We start from the raw sequence: 21377 nt of genomic DNA, 5'->3' as shown, positions 1-21377 counted from the left end.
ATTGAACAGTTACTGTATGTTAATATAAACATTAAATAAGACTCATTTCCTACTTACTGTTTGCCTAATGCATTTGAATATATGCATATTGACAAGAGCTATAATGAATTACTTATTAGATTCTAAATTTTTTGTTTTGTTTTAAACTGACTTTATTTCCTATAGGCAGCTTTTTAATAGTTTACATTTTGAAAGCAATTAGAATGTAAGGAAAAGTTTGAATGACTCATGAAGTCATTAAATGAAGTAGCAAAAAAATCAGAAGCATGGTCTTCAGATTTAATAATAAATGAGCTTGCCTTATTAAATCACTAATTTGGAAACTAGGGTTAGACTTTTTTTTTCTTAAAGCCATTCACGGTTTGATTTTGAGCAAACCATGGTAAAGAGGAAAGAAAACTTCCTGAAAGTTCCTATGGTAACAAAGGTGACAAAGTAGAAGCTGCCAGGAGCACCCGTGATTGAATACAAGTTAGTGGAGCTTTTGCTTCCTTTCCAGTTTTAACGGGGAAGGATTATTTAATCTTTTTAACTTTACATATGTATATTTTTAAGGTGGAAATAGGTCAGATACATAGCATTAATTTTTTTTAATTTGGGATTTAAAATTTTTTTTTAGCTCCATAGAGTCTTCAAGGAGTCCATGAACTTACTGAAATTGTATGCAGCAATTTATATATGTCTGCTAGCCTTCCTTTTCCCGACATTCAGAGTGCTTCATGACCTCAGAAAGATTGAAGGCCTTTAACTATAATACCCTCAAGATTCCCAGTATGGTTATATCTTAAAAGCAGAATTATTTGGGATCTTTTGGTGACCAGTTTCTCTTATTTGTGGGTAGAGGTCGTTGAAACATGAAATAACTTACCTTGAACATTAAGTACCCACTCATCCTCAGAAAAATCTTTTCAAGGTAGAAATTATGCAGATTTTTATGATGAATAAACAGAATCAGAAGATAGGTAATTTGTCCAATGTCCTATAGCTAATGAATATAACTGGAATTAGCTACCAAATTCATAGCCTTGATTTCTAAGCTCATGTTCTCTGTAGTTTTCTCCCAGCCTTTTTTTTTTCCCTAGAGAATGGTGTTTCCTATTTATTGCCTAATATTAATGTAAAGTTGTAATTAATCATTTACATGTTTCAGAATAAGATAATTCTTCCCTATCCCACCCTACCTTTTTCAAAAAGAGAGAAAAAATTTACTTTTGATTAATAATTTAAATAGGTGAGTCAAGGATTTTCTAAACTAGCATAAGTGTCGACATTTAGTGTTAGGGTTATTGATAATTTTCCTAAGATAATGCCTGCCCACTCCCTCACATATATATAAAAGGAGAAAATTGAAGACATAGTCTCTTAATAGATTCCTAGGTTGAGATAAGGACTTATTTGATGAATAATATTCCCATTGAGGAGGGAAATATATAAATTCCCATAAGCAGCAGAAATCTTAAGATAATTCTTAGGGATCGTATGGTGTTAAATTAGTCATAAAGTCATTAGTCATTTAGCCTTGATGTGGCATCTTGAAGGCTCACCATTTGCATGTTTAGTCACTCATTTTCATAGTCTACACTATTATGCATTACTTTTAATCTGCTTGGTTCAGCTGTTTGCTGCATACTTTTAGGACCAACCAACATTTTCTATCTTAAATAAAAGCTAATATGATAATGGAGGCGTATAAGTACAAGACTATCTTTGTGTTAAGTTTGTGAGTAGTTTATAACATTCAGCAGCATAGTCCTTGACTATGTACTGTGTGTTAGTACAGTGTTTTTGTACACACTGAATTTTTATTTATACAGAAACTAATACATTAATGATTATTTATTCCCTTACATTTTTGTAAGCCAATTAAGCAGATGTACTTAACACCAGGTAACTTACTTTTAGCACTGCATTCCCAAAATTACTTAACTTTGAAGAACTGATAATCCATGTTTTAGAGAAGTAAAGATGAGAGTTTTACCCAGTACTAGGTGATAAACAATATTTACTTTCCTCTTCCTTAATTAGATACCTAATAGCTATAATCAGTTATCCTTGAGTTCTATCCGGAAGGTTTTTTTTTGAGACAGAGTCTCTCTGTCATCCAAACTGGAGTGCAGTGGCGTGATCTTGACTCACTGCAACCTCTGCCTCCTGGGTTGGAGCAATTCTCCTGCCTCAGCCTCCCGGGTAGCTGGGATTACAGGTGTGCACCACCACGGCCAGCTAATTTTTGTATTTTTTAGTAGAGATGGAGTTTCGCCATGTTGGCCAGGCTGGTCTTGAATGCCTGACCTCAGGTGATCCACCCACTTCGACCTCCCAGAATGCTGGGATTACAGGCATGATCACTGCTTCCGGCCAGTTTTTGTTTTTAATATGAACTTGGGTTTATTTAGTAGACACACATGCATATCCTCTTGTTACACAGTTTTTATCAGCATCTAGGCAAGGAAATTATTCCCTGACTAACTTTTCTATATATACTTTATTTTTCACTATTAGGAATAGCAATTATTGGTAACAGAGGCTTCAAAAAGCAATAGTCATTGTAAAAATAGTTGACTGTTTATTTCTCGGGGAATCTGTTTTTGGGGCTTTCTTCACTCTTGCTATTCCCACTTATATTAATATATTGCTAACTGACATTTAAGAGCTCATGGGCCATCAATCAACTCCCAGTTCTTAGGGTAGATTAAGCAATAAGTTAGGACTAAAGCATCTTCCTGATTCTTCTTCCTTGAACCAGAAATATTTGAAAGAAAAACACTAAACTCTGTTTTCTACATTGATTGGTCTTATTCTTAAACGGATTCCACTTTTAGGAAGGCCTTTTTCTGAATTTATTAGAGCCTGAATTTATTAGAATAGATCAGGAACCCAAGGATAATAGTTCACTCATTTACTGGGTATTTGGTAGAGGAAGCGAAACAAACAAACTTGACCTTTGGCCTAACATTTTTAAATAAAGCTTGCATATCAAATCTTGGATTGATCATACATTTTATATTGCTCAGCATAATCCAATACCACCCGAAAAAACAAAGTACTCATCTGCCCAAATCATTTCCTTTCATAAAATCCAACTTTATGTAGATGTTGGGGCCATAATTTTGTTTTGGGGTATTCTGTTCATTCGGACTATTTTAATAAAACTATTGATGAACTATTGTTATCTTAGATATTACCCAATATTAACTGTTCCCAGAAGATTTCATTTCCAAATGAGTTCCAAATGAAGAAAAATGGCTCTTACAATTATGAATATAAAAATCTCAAATTAGTTAAGTGGTACATTCACTGAATTTAGTATAATTCAAACTTTAAAACTGGTTGTTCAGTAAGTACAGATTTGTATAGAAAAGTGCTATATTTCCAGGTTTCCCCTTTAATAGGAAATTCTTATTTAAGAAACTATCTCTAGGATAAAGTGTTTTAATACATTGGTCTTCTGATGCATCAGTGTAAACTGCCAAGGCAAAGGAAATAAAAGAGCTGTTGGTCATGTGATGGTCTCTTAGGATCACTTTGTTTTTGATGGGCCAGTAGGAGACAAGAGTCTCTCTGCCTCCCGGGCTGGAGTACAGTGGCATGATCTTGGCTCACTACAGCCTCCGCCTCCTGGTTCAAGTGATTCTCCTGCCTCAGCCTCCTGAGTAGCTGAGATTACAGGCATCTGCCACTGTGCATGGCTAATTTTTGTATATTTAGTAGAGACGGGGTTTCAGCTTGTTGGCCAAGCTGGTCTTGAACTCCTGGTCTCAAGTGATCCTGCCGCCTCAGCCTCCCAAAGTGCTGGGATTACAGGCGTGAGACACTGTGCCCTGCCGATGCCAGTTTTAACTGAGGGATGTTAGTGAAGCAGCTTGACGTTAATTGACTATAATATTACTGGCTCATTAGCATGGGTTTTGGTTGGTATTGACTTGGAGGAGAGTGTAGTTATTTGAAACTGAAGGGGAAAAAGATAATTTGAACTCTGAGTAGGACTTGTTAAGTCTGTATTTTTTCTGGGTTTTTATAGGATTTTTTCAAAAAAGCTTTTAAAAGTAATATGTAGTTGATTCATATTTGAGTGACATCATGGAATAAATTGGATTCTGCTAATTACAGTGTTTTTTAAAATATGGTTTTTGTTTGTTTGTTTTTTCTTTTGTTTTTTGAGATGGAGTTTTGCTCTTTTCGCCCAGGCTGGAGTGCAATGTTGCGATCTCAGCTCACTGCAACCTCCGCCTCCTGGGTTCAAGTGATTCTTCTGCCTCAGCCTCCCGAGTCGCTAGGATTACAGGCACCCACCAGCACGCCAGCCTAATTTTTGTATTCTTAGTAGGGATGGGGTTTCACCATGTTGGCCAAGCTGGTCTCAAATTCCTGACCTCAGGTGATCTGCCCGCCTTAGCCTCCCAAAGTGCTGGGATTACAGGCGTGAGCCACCGCCCCCAGCCTAAAAATAAGTTTTATTTTCTCTTGAGAGAAGCAACATAAAGTCAAATAAGGCTGACACAGTTTTCATGAGATTCTAGGGAAATTTTGCATATATAACTGCTAATATTACTAAGAATGAAATTTCTATTACTAAGAAATTTCATTCTTAGTAATATTAGCAGTTATATTTTATTAAACTCTATTGGTTACAGCAATACTTTTTAAACAAAATTAATTGAAGAGTATCAGATTACAATGGATTGAATCAGATGTGTTAACCTCTTTCTAATGTTAGTACTATAAATGTTCTGTGCTGCAGTAAAGCACTAAATTGTAATATCCAAACTAAACTGACTTTAATTTGATATTATATTCATACATCGAGTTAATTTCATGTTTTATTATTTTGAACTGGCCATTCACCCATTGATAAGAAAACTGTCTTCCAAGAGTAAGTTACTCCAGAACCAGATAATAGAGAGAGAGGATATTGATTTTAATACATGTTAAAGTGTATTTTTTTCAAGTGAATGTTTTTTAAGGTGCAATATTATATTCAGAGACAATAGGTCTTTCAGACTATATTTCTTTTAATTAAATAATGTCACAGGAAAAGAACAAAATATTCATTGTTTTAAGGGAAAAGGGCATTTGATAACATAGATAATAGAAAAAAGATTCACTTGGCTTATCAGTGTAGTCAAAGTTGTAGCCTCTGTTTTGTTTGGCCGAATGCTAATTCCTATGTGATACACAGTTCTTTTAATCAAATTCAATGTTCTAAATCCTGATTTGTGGGGCTGGGCGTGGTGGCTCACGCCTATAATTCCAGCACTGAGAAGCGTGGCGGGTGGATCACTTGAAGTCAGGAGTTTGAGATCAGCCTGGCCAACACAGTGAAACCCTGTCTCTACTAAAAAATACAAAAATTAGCCGGGCATGGTGGCGTGCGCCTGTAATCCCAGCTACTCGGGAGGTTAAGGCAGGAGAATCACTTGAACCCGGGAGGCAGAAGTTGCAGTGAGCCGAGATCATGCCACTGCACTTCAGCCTGGGTAACAGAGCGAGACTCCGTCTCAAACAAACAAAAAAACCCTGAGTTGTATATAGTACCCTTAGAAAGGAAAAATCAAATCTCAGTGGCCCTCCAGAGTTTATTTAAAATAGATATTTGAATCACCACATTTTTAAAAAAGCTGTATGCATTAGATTTTTTGTTTATATTAAATACATTCAGAATGCCCATGGAAATAATTCTAGAAAATACAAATTCACATTAACCAAACCGCAATGCCATGTTACTTAGTTGCTCACAGTGTACATTTTACTAACCAGTACAGGGTTGGTTCTTTGAGCTCAGTTTACTTTCACCAGCTATGCCACCCTGTCCCTTGTGTTGATTCAGGTCTTTCACTTCTTTTTTCTATTCAAAACCATGTAATAGCTACCTACGAGTCATTTGGGTTTTACATAGATGTATATTAAATCTGTCTTGAGGATTACAGTAATACTACCTGGTGCTAAATTAATCATAAACAAAAATACAAACTGGCCACTGGGATCGTGTAGCTGATCTTGGCTGTAGTTTGGTGAACATTGGAGCTCTGGAACCTGATTGCTGGAGTTTGAATCCTGTCTCCACTACTTAGACGCATCACATTGTGACAGAGATCTTTCGGCCTTTGTGTATTTCATCTCCCACCTCATAGGGTTGTTGTGTGAGAATGAAATGAAATAATATATGTAAAACACTTAGAAATGAGCCTGGCAAATAGTAAATGCGCAAATGTTAGAAGCTGTTTGTATGCATCACATTATAAATGGCAAATCCAGTTGAATCACAATGTGTGTTGTTTTTAGGTTATTAAAATGAAACGACAAAAGTTGAAAGCTGTTATAAGGAACTTGCAAAAGCCTGAAATTATTGACTGTTGGAGACTATACATGATTGTAGAGACTATATAGACTATGGGTCAGCAAACTATAACCAGCTATAACCTGATTCTATAAATAAAACTTTATTAGAACACAGCCATACCCATTTATTTATGTATTGCTTGTGGCTATTTTTGCATTATAGTGGCAAGTTGAGTAGTTTTGGGAGACCCAATGGCCTGCAAAGCCTAGAATATTTACTAGCAGGCCAGTTACATAAAAGCCTACTCCTGCTGTAGGCTCTAGAAGCTCTGTATGACTGTTGAGAATATTTCAATCCCTAGGTGCCTCTAGATCTCGATTTTAGAAATGATTGCCTGTGGTCTTCATAAGACGGGTGCAAATCTGAATTGCCTGTGATGTTTAAAAAATAAAACCAGATACCTTGGCTGTATGTCACCCCAACTAATTTAAAATCTTTGGGAATTGGGTTTTAAAAGGACAGGTATAATTTATAAAAATTCCCAAAGAATGCTTATGCTTATTCTTGCTGACTACTGGATAATTTTCATACTGGTAATATAGTTTAATGCTCTTAAAAAAGGAAAGCCTAAGAGATTGCTTCAGAATGAAGTAATGATGGGCCCTTTGAAACCAGTGAGGCTCCAATTTGAATGCGAATGTAGTTTGTGCTTCACTGGGTTAAGAGATTAGTGTGGCCTAAATAAATGCATGGTGTTGGTTAAACTTTCACGTATATTACTAATCCTGAAACTACCTGTCTGTCTTTCTAACTGCCTCTTATATGACAGTGACTGGTTAGGGCACGTGGTGAATAGAAGATTTCATGTTTCTTTTTTTACTTAGAGATTAGTGGGCGAAGAGGGGACTGAGAAAGTTCTTTCTGTATCTGCTGTAGGAAAACTGGCTCTAGAAAAGGGGTAGGAGTGGGCCAGCGGATAGGGATTTAAACAGAACTTTTCCATAATTATACAGAAAAATATAAAAATACTGGGATCTTTCATTGCTCATAAGCTTATTCTATCTTGGAAGTAATTCCTATGTTTAATAAAAGAACTTATATAAGAAGAGGCCTAAAATGAATCAATATTTAAAACTGTAATATCTTGGATAGGAAAATTAGCTTTGAAACATTTTGTAATCATTAATTTTTGTCGAATTTAGAATGAATTGTCTGTTATAGAAAATGAGGTTACTGTGGTTAAGACTGACTATTTTCTTTTTTCTTTCTCTAAAAAATGAAGGCATTTCAGTAGAACCATGGAGGAGCTGGTTCATGACCTTGTCTCAGCATTGGAAGAGAGCTCAGAGCAAGCTCGAGGTGGATTTGCTGAAACAGGAGACCATTCTCGAAGTATATCTTGCCCTCTGAAACGCCAGGCAAGGAAAAGGAGAGGGAGAAAACGGAGGTCGTATAATGTGCATCACCCGTGGGAGACTGGTCACTGCTTAAGTGAAGGCTCTGATTCTAGTTTAGAAGAACCAAGCAAGGACTATAGAGAGAATCACAATAATAATAAAAAAGATCACAGTGACTCTGATGACCAAATGTTAGTAGCAAAGCGCAGGCCGTCATCAAACTTAAATAATAATGTTCGAGGGAAAAGACCTCTATGGCATGAGTCTGATTTTGCTGTGGACAATGTTGGGAATAGAACTCTGCGCAGGAGGAGAAAGGTAAAACGCATGGCAGTAGATCTCCCACAGGACATCTCTAACAAACGGACAATGACCCAGCCACCTGAGGGTTGTAGAGATCAGGACATGGACAGTGATAGAGCCTACCAGTATCAAGAATTTACCAAGAACAAAGTCAAAAAAAGAAAGTTGAAAATAATCAGACAAGGACCAAAAATCCAAGATGAAGGAGTAGTTTTAGAAAGTGAGGAAACGAACCAGACCAATAAGGACAAAATGGAATGTGAAGAGCAAAAAGTCTCAGATGAGCTCATGAGTGAAAGGTGACTTTTATATTCTCTAAATATAAAAATATTTATCTCCAGTGTTTGTGGTTGAATGTTTTATATTTTAATTAATTCTATTTTAAAATAATTATAAATTGTAATAATGATAGTGATATTACTGTTTAGCTATGGTTATATTTCCTTATACTTTATGATGTTTAGCACAAAGCAAAATTGCTTGTTTGATTTACACAAAGTCTTTTGATTGTATTATAATGACTCAATTTTCAGCTACAAGGAGGAAAGGAAATGGATTTTCAGTGGAAAAGAATGTGCTTTTGAATAACAGCACGTTTGTAACTCAGAATTGGATATATAATTATATGTTTAATTATAGACCTTTAGCTTTTGGTACTTTATAGAGTGTCACAATTCATTAATCTATCCTGATTCTTGAACATCAAAAGTTTATACCACTTCGACATGTCTGTGGCTTGACATAAAAAATCTGGAGCTTTCTAGGAATTCTGATCACTTATGAATTTTAAAACCCAATTTATAGTCTAGAAACACCTGGTTTTGTCATTAGAAAAATAGGAAAAACAATGGTCCTGTGGTAGTAAATCTAATCTGTCAATAATTGTTAAGTACTATTTTGACAGCATCAAAAGGTAAGTGATCATTTTTCTTTTATACTGAAATGATGAAGTGATGCTACTTGCAAGAAATGAGAATGTATTAACACTTTTTCCTTTTAGGCATGGGTCCGCAAAACCGAATGCTGAACTATGAGCCAGAAAAAAACAGTCTGTAAATATGGCCTGAGAAAGAGTAATTGATTTTTAATTTATAGGGCTGCTATCTTTTTTTTTTTTTCGAGATAGAGACTCACTCTGTTTCCCAGGCTGGAGTGCAAGGGTGTGATCTCAGCTCATTGCAACCTCCACTTCCTGGGTTCAGGTGATTCTCCTGCCTCAGCCTCCGGAGTAGCTGGGATTACCTGTGTGCACCACCATGCCTGGCGAATTTTTTTTGTATTTTTAGTAGAGACGGGGTTTCACCATGTTGGCCAGGCTGGTCTTCAACCCCTGACCTCAAGTGATCCACCCACCTTGGCCTCCCAAGGGCTGGGATCATTTTAATCATGTGAATTGTGGTGAGCTATCAATCTTTTATTTGGTTTTTATTTTTTATTTTGTTTTTTTGGGGTTTTTTTGCTTGTAAATGAGTGGGACCTGGTAAAAGTTTATGGAATTATCCTTTTATTAGACATGGTGTGCTAGTCATATAATTTTTCTAAAGAAGTAAAAATTACTTACATTAAAAAATTGTGGCTGAGCATGGCGGCTCATGCCTTTACTCCCAGCACTTTGGTAGGCTGAGGCTGGTGGATCACCTGAGGTCAGGAGTTTGAGACCAGCCAGACCAGTATGGTGAAACCCCGTCTCTAGCAAAAATAGAAAAATTAGCCGAGTGTGGTGATGTGCGCCGAGTCCCAGCTACTCAGGAGGCTGAGGCAGGAGAATTGCTTGAACCTGGGAGGCGGAGATTACAGACATCCAAGATCGTGCCACTGCGACAGAGCAAGACTCTATCTCAAAAAAAAAAAAAAAAAAAAGTTTCCAGAGGGCTTTGAAAAGTTTATGGTATCTGTTTTTCTTGCAAGAAAATTGTCATTCTTATATGGAAATAAGTATTATTTGTATTAGGCCATTGTGACTTAAGACCATTCAACCTTACTTGAAAGTAATTGTCTGACTCAATTACCGGGAGGGAGAGTATGTGGCAGCTGATATAACATACTCAATTCTGGATTATTTACAATTAGATTACCTGCTTTTTGGATTCATTGTGCAAGCTCCCCCCCTTTTTTTTAGTTCTCCTTTTATTGATCTGCTTTTTTATAGGACATGTAACTGGTAATGGATATGAGATCAAACTCTCATTTTTCATTTCTTTTCATTGTAAAAAGTATTTGAGTATCTACTAGGCATGAACAGGCTACCTAGCAGTCCACAAACAGCCCAGGTACACGTTTTCAGAGTATGTTTTTACTCTTGAATAAATGTTAAAAAATATATTTTCTCTGATTTGAAACTTATTTATAAACTATTTTCTGTTGTCACTTAAAAGTTAGGTGCAAATTCCTTCTGTGCAAAGATTGCTAAATATTTAAGGTATTTTGGTAACAAGTATAAGCGTTTTCAAGACTACTTCCAAAGCTTTCCTACTACAAAAAGCTTTATATTTCCTTGGGGTTGATTTATAAATAAGAGAAACTTCAGTGTGGGGGGCTGTGTGTGTGTGTCAGATTTAACAAACATTGATGATTAACTACAATTTACTCTTCACTGGTGGCACCTGGACTAATAATGGAGACTCTGTTCTCAACAGCTGCATAGTCTGGGATAGCCAGGCAAGCAAATGATGAAAATGAAATGTGCTGAGTGGAAAGTATTAGTGAGGGAAGACTTGCTAAGGGAACTGTGCTTTAAAGCAAGTAGTAAGACTTGTTCAGGAATTGAGGAAGTCAAGAGAAGAGAGGGAAATGGCATTCATAGGTAGAGAGGGAGCAGCTTGTGCAAAGGCATGAATTGTGAAATGAAAATACATACTTTGTTTTTACCGGCAATAAAGTGGGATCAGAATTACAGCAAAAAGCATTTCTCAGAGGTCTATCTGCTATGGTAAATAGTTTGGATTTTATCATCTTATAGTCAATGGGATCAGTGAAGAATTTTTAACAGTGAAGAAACTCAAGTTGATTTACATTTTTTCAAGATAGTGTGATCTTTATAGCTGTATTTTGGTATTTTGTTTATCTTTGACCTCCAATCCATGCTTAAGTGGGAAGTGAATTACGATATGATAGCAGAGAGAACTAAGTATTTGAGAGTATTTGAGACCAATTTTAAGAGTTAGAATCGATGGGAGGTTGACTGACTATTTGGGAGGATGAATGAGAAAGAGGACTCTACGGAAAATATAGGAATTGAACAAATTGGGGCAAGTGATTGATATTAGTGTACATATATTTGTTCATCCAGCATATGTGGAATATATTCTCATCCAAATACCGTGTTATAAAATTCACTCTAAAAAGGTGAATCTCCAAGGAAAGGGTGTCTTTGGAGATAAGCCGTAATGACTGTCAGCTGCTGAAAATAAAAGGCTTGTTTCTATTTAAGTTCTTGTTCTGATTTATTGAACATAGAAACACGTACATAATGTACACGGAACAACTCTAGATACCAATGAGGTGAAATGTAAATCAAGAAACATGTTGTATACATGCATGCCAACATACCTCAAAGTAGGACAAGGATCATTAAGGACTCAGAGCTGGAAGAGAGGGAATTCTGATTTCCTTATATCTTCAAGAGCTTGGACAGGTGGAGAGGGAAGAGAGTGGAGATAGGCATACCACTGGGAAAAGAACATAAACAAAAGGACCAGAGATGGGAATAAGAAGAATTTAGATGGAGGCCCATCCATAGAAAGTCTTGAAATCTAAATTTAATTCAACAAGTTTTGAAGTAATTTTAAATTTTTAAATAGAAGACTGTTCTATAATGTACACGTGTGTGTATGTGTGTGTGCATAGTTTATCAACTACTTTCTTTGGAATAGATGTAAATTTACAGAAAAGTTGTAAAGATAGTTCAGAGAGTTCATGTAAATCACATTCCCATATATCCCAAATCCACTTTCTCCTGTTGTTAATATTGTACATTACTATGGTTAATCTCTCACAATTAATGAAACAAAATTGATATATTTGTAAGTAAAGTTCATAGTTTATTAGAATTTCCTTTGCTGTTATTTAATGTCCTTTTTTGGTTTCAGAATATCACATTACTTTTAGTCAACTTGTTTTATTTTGAAAAGATGAACCTGGCTGTATGTAGAATAGATTAGAGAGGGGTAAATCTGAATTCAGATTAGAAGATCATGGTCTAGAAAAAATAGCACATCAATTCATAATGCTTTGTCTGCAAATCTGAACTCTGAAAAGCTATGAAAAACTAATTCACTTGTGGCCAAATTTAATTTGACCTGTACTTAATGTGGATATTCATTCATTTAATTGAAGAAATATATTAATCTGTTTTATGGAGTACTATCCCAGACTCCTCCGAGGCATTTTAGAATATACCTTGCTAAAATTTGAGTAATTCAGAATTTTAAATACATTTTGCCTCAAGGGTTTCAGAAAAGGAACTGTGACCTGAGGTGTATATGAGACCCTTCATTTGAGTTGTGTTAATGGGGGGCACACAGGAAAGAGGAAAGTATCAATAGTAGTTTAGACAGCGAAATGTCAGAAAGATAGTTTCTGAGGTGATTTTAACACTCTCACATTATAGTGCATAGAAGAGCATATATATTTGTAAATAAGAAAATTTGGTTGTGATGCTCTTAGAAAATATTTTTTCATTACCAATTGTACAATATAGGGAGCTTTGTACATGCACTTAATTTGGAAGAAAGCTAGAGAGAGGTCTAAATTCAGAACTCCTTGGAAGAATGTGCCTCTTAAGAAATTCCTATATTCTTCATTAATATTTATTTTTTAAGAAATCGAACAGAAACAAATTATATTCAGAAAATGTATGTGAATTTAGATCTCATCTATAATTTTAATCCTAAACTTCTCAATTTAAATATTTTAAAACAAGTTAGGATGCCTTATTAAAAAATAAGATTATGGAATTCTACATATTAATGGAAAAAGTATTTTAATTAAAAAAAGGGATGATTTCCTGATTGGTTAAAATTAAGAATTACAGTAAAAATAAAATACATGAGAATTTTTAAAGAACATCACTAAATTTTCTTTAAAAGCTAAGCCTCTCATTATATTATATGACTTTGTTCTCCTGGTATTTTAAACTAGACTGTCATATAAGCATTACTTCTATTAGAATAGTAACAGTTTGTTTATGTTATTCAAATATCTGCTATTTGTTTTATTTGTATGTTAGATTTGACTCTGGAGCTTCTGTGGGAATATATGTACACACTCCCTCCTTAATATTTGTAATATTATTTTTTTTTTTTTTTTGCTTAAAAGTGACCTTAACTTCGATATAATGGATTATCACCGTTTTAAACTTTTTATTCCTTGCAAACTAATAGAGTTGTTGTGAATTCTTAAGTAATGTCTTCTCCAGAATATTTGTAAATGTGGTTATGAAAAGTAATCTCATCCTAGTCCTTTGTATTTCATGTGCTGAGGAAAGGCTTAGCCTGCTTTTGATTGAGACTTTTCCCATTTTATTGAGCAGTGGTGTTCCAGGCTCAAGCTGAATTGCATGACGTAAGAAAGGAGCAGTGAGCATTTGATGAAAGTACATGATAAAATGCATCAATTGTGTCAGCATCTCGTTGCAGTCACATCTGGCTTACTGTCAGGGTCCCATTAGATTCCTGTGGTTTTATGTGCCAAAAATAATATGCTCTGTAGTGAATGGAACCAGGATATTAGCAGTTTGATTAAAAAAAAAATCATCTTATTTTCTTTCAGATCTTTGTCAGGCTTAAGTTCCATCTCTGAGCTGCCATGTCTCTTTAAAATTTTACGACTGAGAGATCAATTGTTCTTTTGATCTGTTTCTTTCTTTTTCCTTATTACAGTGATTCCAGCAGTCTCAGCAGCACTGATGCTGGATTGTTTACCAATGATGAGGGAAGACAAGGTACTGAAATGATATTTTTTTCTCTCTTTGGAAAAACTTCTTCATTCTAAAGTGGAGCTTATTACTGGTTATTTCATAAGTTGATGACTGCAATCCATTTACCTTACACATATTACTTAGTGAACTAGGATTTAGTATCGTAGCTGGTTTTTTATATGCTATGGAGGGTGTCCTGTCTTCATGACCTAAGTAATTGATTATCTCCAAAAGCTAGTATGTGGAGCTAATAATATTAAGGAAGGATTATCTTGTTTGAGAAAGCTCTAGGTACCTTTTTGATTTTCTCTCTTTTAGCAAGTTTGAAAGAAACTGGTTCTCATTCTCTAATTCCAGATGTACTTAAAACTGTTTAAGCATTCATAAAGGTGGATTTCCAAGTCATTTGTCATTTTTATTCAGCTGTGACATTTATTCATTCTATCCAGTTTGTAAGTAATTAGATGATTTTTATGAATTCAATATTGTAAACCATTAAACAGAAATGTCTTGCAACTTATATGTTTTCCATCTTTGAAACTTCCAGAAGCTTCAGTCTGTAACATGGCAGTATTTTGAAGCTATGAAAAATTTAAAAAAACCTTAATAAGGGAGCAGGATTAATCCTTAATAGGATTAATTTCATTTAGTCACACCTGCTCATGATTGTTTCCCTTTTACGCTCCATACAAATCATACATACAGATACCTATCACAAATGTTTTCTTCCTTTCTTAAGAATACATTAGAGGAAGACAGTAAGTTCCAAGTGAAAAACACTAATATAAATTTTAAATTATAAATTTAGTTAATGATGTTATAAGAAAAGGACAAAGTAGCCTCCTATACTTTTTTTCTTAGTCTGTTCATCCTTTTGGCAGTACAAAAAACATAAGTGATCATTCTTTTTTGCCTGCTTGTAAACTATTTGTCCTAAATGAATAGGTACATAACTGTTTGAAAGACCATGGACTTTAAAGTTGATACTTTGCTGAAATATGTTAGAATGCTGGGGCTAAATGCAAGGGTAACCATCCTGATAATATACTTAAATTCTCATTAAAATACAGATCTTTTCTCAGGATTGTATTATAAATGCTGATATTGGTTATGAAATAAAATGAAATGAAAAAAAGTAAAAAAAAACTTTGACAAGCCTGTCAATCTTTGATAAGTATGGAAAGGCTTAGAATGATATGCCAGCATTTATTGTGAACTTACTATGTTTCACGTTGCTAAGTGTTTTCCTTGCATTTAAGTTTTTAATTAATTCTTAAAATCCCTTTGAGATTCCCAAGTTTTTAAAATGAAGAAACTGACTCTAATAGAGTTGAAGTAACTTTCCTGATGTTACAGACACTAGAATTCTAATTGGTCTGTCTGATTTCAGAGCAAGTTCTTAATCAATGACTATTTGATTTCCCTATTGAAGAATAAAGTTGTGTATTACATCAAAAATAAAATAACTTTATTTTTCTGTAATAGTGTTGGAATTCAGATATATGGTAGTCAGTTTCAAGTGAGGCCCTGTTTTTTCTTATGCTTAAACCTGATCTGTGTAATTTTAATGTAAAGCTCAGTAAAAGTCCTGATATCTAAGTGCTGTTAATTGTGTGTTTTGAAAAATTTTTTTAATTAATTCCCCAGTAGAAACGAGCTGATGACTCTAATTTTTGAAATGCCTTTAATTTTCCATTGTGACTTAGTTGAAATATAGCTATTTCTCATAAAATAATTTTCAACTGAAGCTTAAGAGTATTTTTAGTTTTCCTTTAAAGATGTCTGTTGTAAGAGATTTTAGAAATCAGAAATATCTTTCTGTAAAGGGAAAAGTTTATGACAATTACAACGACCCTCTTAGAAACCAGAATTAGTGGTGGCTTCTCATAATCAAGGGAAGGAGACTTTAATGAATCGCAGATCATCTTAAAAATGCTGTTTGTTTCTTTCTGTTTTTCTTTTCTTTTCTCTATCTTTTTTTTTTAACACAAGGTCTCGCCCTGTGGTCCAGGCTGGAGGGCTGGTGGTGCAATCATAGCTCACTGTAACCCCAAACTGCTGGGCTCAAGGGATCCTCCTGCCTCAGACTCCCGAGTAGCTAGGACTACAGGTGCATGTCATCATGCCCGGCTAATTTTTAATCTTTTTGTAGAGACAGGGTCTCGCTTTCTTGCCCAGGTTGGTCTGGAACTCCTAACCTCAAATGATCCTCCCACTTTGGCCTCTCAAAGCACTGGGATTACACACATGAGCCACCATGACTGGCCTGTGTCTCTTTCTTTTAAAAGCCATCTGTCTTCTGTGTTTTTGTCTCACAGACAAAAAATGTTTTGTTGGGCAAAAACATCTCGATTATTTAATATAGTTTCTTCATAAACTCTAAGGTATTGTCACTTTTCATTTAAAATCAACTTTTTCAAAACTATTTCTTAATGAGCTTAATTGGATTAATTTCATTTAGTCACATCTGTTCATGATTGTTTCCCCTTTTACACTCCATACAAATCATGAAATTAAGCTAATTATATACCTATATCTGCTGCAAAGAAAGGGTTCCACAGTTTTAATACTTTTTAATTCCCAGGAGCAGATTAAGGTTTGTTTTTTCTTAACGTGGAAGGGGTAGTAACTTAAATGGATTTTCTAATAGTTTTTGCCAAAGGATTAACCAGTTTATTATTGTTTTTCACATTTTAAAATTGGTTCTAAAACATAATATTTTGTGTTTTTGTTGCTGGCAGTTCTTAGAGTCTTAAGATAACATTTCTTAAGTGAAGCTGTGGTATAAAATAAAAAGTTTTCCTTATAGATTGTATATGCAGTTGTCAAATAAAACATAGGATCCCCAATTACATTTAAATTGTAGGTAAATAACACATAATTTTTTAGTACAGGTATGTCCCATGCAGTACTTAGACATATTTCCACCAAAAATTTAGTGCAAGTATATAATACTTATATTAAAAGTTAGTCATTGATCTCAAATTCAAATTTAACTGCCATCTTGTATTTTTATTACCTGACAAGACTAATTGTGTAACTGGATGATAAAACTGAGTCTTTGGTGGGGGGGGGTTTCTTGTATTTGCACAGGTGATGATGAACAGAGTGACTGGTTCTACGAAAAGGAATCAGGTGGAGCATGTGGTATCACTGGAGTTGTGCCCTGGTGGGAAAAGGAAGATCCTACTGAGCTAGACAAAAATGTACCAGATCCTGTCTTTGAAAGTATCTTAACTGGTTCTTTTCCCCTTATGTCACACCCAAGCAGAAGAGGTCAGTAGCACTGGCTCCCTGGTAGATATAATGGGTTTAAGGTCAGTCTAGGAATATTCATTCAAGGAGGATAAGATAAAGTGGAAATTAGAGAATGTAAACACAAGATGCTGTAAAGAAACATATTGGCCACTAATATAGCTACTACATTTATCATGCTTTCAAATTATTAGAAAAATTGACTTGCTTTCTTGCTAGGCTCATTGAGAAAATGTTGAAATGATAAGAATGTTAATTCGGAAAAAAGAAAATGGGTATTTATTACTCTAGTGATTGAACACTGGTTAGTTAAGTGCTGACTGCCTTAGTACTTTGCTAGGCATTGCTTCAGTTTTTTTAAGTGTGAGTTTTGCATTTTCCCAAATAATATTCGTGGCATTCACCGCCACCACCAACTTACTTTTCTTTCTCTATTGATAGGATCCTCTTCTTCTTCTATGCTTCAGTGATCATAGAAAACTTCTAAATTGAGTACTTTGATTTTACAGGTTTCCAAGCTAGACTCAGTCGCCTTCATGGAATGTCTTCAAAGAATATTAAAAAATCTGGAGGGACTCCAACTTCAATGGTAGGCATACTTTTTCTGTGTAATTGTCATGTTTGGAAATGTTTCCATTTCTATGGAATAAAAAGCCACATCCTCATCCTTTATTCATATTCTAATGTTAAACTTAAAAATAATCCATTTTTTTGTAGGCTACAAACTGGACCAGTGAGATTCCCCTATAAACCAAATCTTCTAATGCTAATAAATTAGTTACGTTTTGAACATCTGGGGAATGACATTCGAGGGAACCTGGCTCCTGTCCTCTTCCCTGGAGGAATATCATTGAAGTGAGAGCCTCTTTGATGAAAAGATGGGGCTGTTTTTGCTGGAGGACTGGTATTCTTCCTTTTAGTCAGAAGTGAACCTGACTGGGGAGGCTTTCTAGGGATTTAGGTTGGCCCAGGGTGGATAGAAACTACTGTAAATTATATATTTTTCTCTTTTATGGTTTTTTTTTTACATTGAATCCATTTATGTATACTTGCTTTGCCAAAATGCTAACAAAGCTAGAAAATTTTAAACTTCCAGATCGACAAGTATTCCTTAATGTTTATATTGTGACTGATTAAGAATTAATTTTTACATATCTGACTGTTGTAAATAAAAATCATGATGCATTGACATTTATGGTTCATTTTTAGAGAAGTCTTATATAACCAGCATTATTTAAAATATTTGCATTTTACTCAGGGTATTTTAACAAGGGCTAAGATGAGTAGTAGGTAAGGTTGATAATCTTTGCTGGAGTTTGTATTTTGTTCAGCTTCCTTTCTACTTGGGTAATCTGCTTGTATTGCAAACTCATTGTATTTTATAGTATAGCTTTCATTGTACTGCAAAAATCATCCTCGTTTTAAATTAGCCACAGTGATAACTAGTCTGCACTAGTAGAATCATTTACCTTTTAAATTATCTGCTTTGTCTGATACCTGAAACACATCAAAATTATTATTTTGGTTTAGAGCTTAATGAAACATGTGAAAGCTGGTATTTTTAACAAATGCTGTGTGATTCTGAATCATATTGTCATGTTTAAAAGTGAGAGCTGCTTGTACATCTTTAGAATGGCAGACCATATGTGTCACTGTGAGTGTCAGAAATACTTGCATGAGCTCATTTTCACCAACTGGGGGGAAAATGTAATGTTTCTATTGATGGTATAATTTAGACACTATAATAAGTTCAGCCATTTGAGTTCTTCAAAATGGTTATATTAAAATGATATTTTTATTAAGCTTCAATAATGAAAAACAATGTGATTTAATATGTGTATTTTTATATTATTGTATGGATTAATTGTTAATTCAGCATTTAATGGCTAACTTAAATATGATTGGAAAAGAAACTTCAAGTTGCCATTGCTTTTACCTAAAGTTTTTAAAGTCTGAAAGATTTCAGCAAATGCATTAAACAGGAATGTGTGACATCTTCTTTTAGATTGCTTGTCTAATTTGGAGAGATTAAAAATGGTAAAATGCAACTTTGAGTCTCTTTACCTTTGCATATTTAAAGGTACAATAGTGTGGTGTTGGTAATTGTAAGTAAGCTTTTCTGTGCTATGTCTTTGGAGTGAAAATTCATGTTTTTTTTCTGAATTACATAAATGCTTTTGTTTTATTTTGTATAATGACTGTCTTTTAGATCTGAATAAGTCACTTTAAAACCTTGGCCTATGAACTTTGCCTTATCAATCATGAATCTAGATGAATGCTATCTAGTTCTTGGTTCAGTTTTACCTATTTTTATTTTTGGTTCACTGCTTGCTTGAGCATAGCTGGGATTTGTAGCCCATTTTCTAGGCTTATTGCAATCTCACTGTGGTATTTTATAGAAGCTATTACAACTGATAGGCTAGCTTCATGGTATTGATGATACATGGCTTAACCATACTAAAAGCTGCTTTCCCTCTCTAAATTGTAAAAAGGTGATGAAGTTTCACTTGATGGAGACATACTATATATGTGTGTTTATCATGGAACTAGTGCATTAGGCCATAAGCTGTTTTTCTGGTCTATGTTTTTTGTATTTAAAACTTTACTGAAGACAATGGACTCCTTCGGGTTTTCTTTCTTTCAACCCTGAATTGTCCTTGTTTGAATTTTTAAGTACTGTAATTTTTTTTTTTCAATAAAATCTCTGACTTGGGCAAGAAAGGTAAGAGTTCCAATTTGTGCTGCTATTTCTCTGATTTCATTTGCTAAGTTTTCATTGTTGTTGTTGTTGCTTATGCTGTTTATATTATGTATAACTATAATATCTAGTTTTAAAAATCATAATCTCACAAAACAGTCATCTTTACACAGTATCCATGACATCTGGTAATAAGAAGTGAAATTTAATTGCCTTAAACTTTCACACTGGAAAGCCAGATTGTTTTTAAGAGAGATTAATTTTCTGAGCAAAGTAAAACACATGGAGCTGCAACCCATTAAACAGAAGGCCAACAAAAGGTTTCTTAAGCAGATGAATGATGACTGCATAAATATAATGATGTAGTATCTTTGAAGGAAATGACAGAGGAAGAATCTTTTACTGAAATATCAATGTAAACATTTTTTGGGGGAAAGTTTTCAGTTGTATTATAGTTGATTCTGACTATTTGCCATAACTGTATTCTATACACTTGCTGAAAACATTGAATTAGGGAATACTGAATCATGGCTCCTAAGGGAAAGACAGGGTTAGGTTCCTGGAAGCCTCTGGTCACAACATTTTCACCAACTGATCAATAGATAACCTTGTTTTGTTTATGTTTGTGTTTAGAGACATTTAATATATATTGTTGACTTACTAACATCGAACTCATGGCCAATAGCACTATAACTTACGGCTGAACAAAGCTTATCAAGTCTTTTCTCTATAAGGCACATCCCAGCCTTCTTGCACTTAGGAGCACTAGACGGCATTTCTCAGCACTATACAAGGGGCTATTTAAAACAGAATAATCACCCACAAAAAGCACAACAATTCAAAAAAAAATCTGGTACTAATTTAGACTACAAAAGGGACATATGTTTACAGTATGATAGTTTAAACGAGTAGGAAGAAAGTCACCTGACTGACCTCTGGTAGGAATGCACGTGTATGTCGGGCAACTCAACATTTTTCACTGCTCTGTACATGTTACTGAATGACTACAAAAGTCAGAAATTGTGAGTATTGATTTTGGGGTTAACAAATAAATTTTAGCAGGCAGGCCGACTTAAAAATATGGAATCCACAATGGGAACGAGATTGACTGTATTTAGTTTTATAGAGAGCAAAGTGATATTGCAGAAAATTTATAGATTTTGAAGTCAGACCTTTGTGAATCCACACTCTGATTCTTCTTTTTAGTTGTAGTTAGATTTTGAACCTCCTTCCCTCCTTTTGTTTAATACCAACAATACTTACTTTTGCATAAGTGTCGTCAGGTTTTTAAATGAGATTGTGTATGCATAATGGGCCCAGCACCATCTCTGGTGCATAATATATATTAAATAAATGATTGTTACTATTATTAGATATATTAAACACAATAGCTGGGACTTAGAGAACATTTGTATCATGAGTCAAAGTGCAGAATTGTGGACCTTAAACTTTTCTGGTATTTCTTTTTTTTTGAGATGGGTCTTGCTCTGTTGCCCAGGCTGGAGTGCAGTGGCACAATCAAGGCTC

At 34.6% G+C, this 21377-nt stretch overlaps 1 protein-coding gene across 10 annotated transcripts in view; it reads left to right on the top strand.

The window, feature by feature from the left end:
* GPATCH2 (G-patch domain containing 2) overlaps nt 1–21377 on the top strand; it is a 204099-nt gene that overhangs the window by 3029 nt on the left and 179693 nt on the right. For 9 of the 10 annotated variants that reach the window (XM_017001592.3, XM_011509690.4, NM_018040.5 and 6 more), the window contains exons 2-5: nt 7563–8279; nt 13860–13921; nt 16991–17173; nt 17662–17741. In XM_017001592.3, the coding sequence (XP_016857081.1) occupies nt 7563–8279; nt 13860–13921; nt 16991–17173; nt 17662–17741 (1042 nt within the window). Of the gene's footprint in view, nt 1–7562; nt 8280–13859; nt 13922–16990; nt 17174–17661; nt 17742–17869; nt 19874–21377 lie in introns of those variants that run through there. The other variant, NM_001297754.3, reaches the window with a different exon arrangement.

Source organism: Homo sapiens, chromosome 1, assembly GCF_000001405.40.
Source record: "Homo sapiens chromosome 1, GRCh38.p14 Primary Assembly".
Classification (NCBI taxonomy): domain Eukaryota; kingdom Metazoa; phylum Chordata; class Mammalia; order Primates; family Hominidae; genus Homo; species Homo sapiens.
The sequence above is the reverse complement of the archived record's forward strand: the minus strand, read 5'-3'. Positions and strand labels throughout refer to the sequence as shown.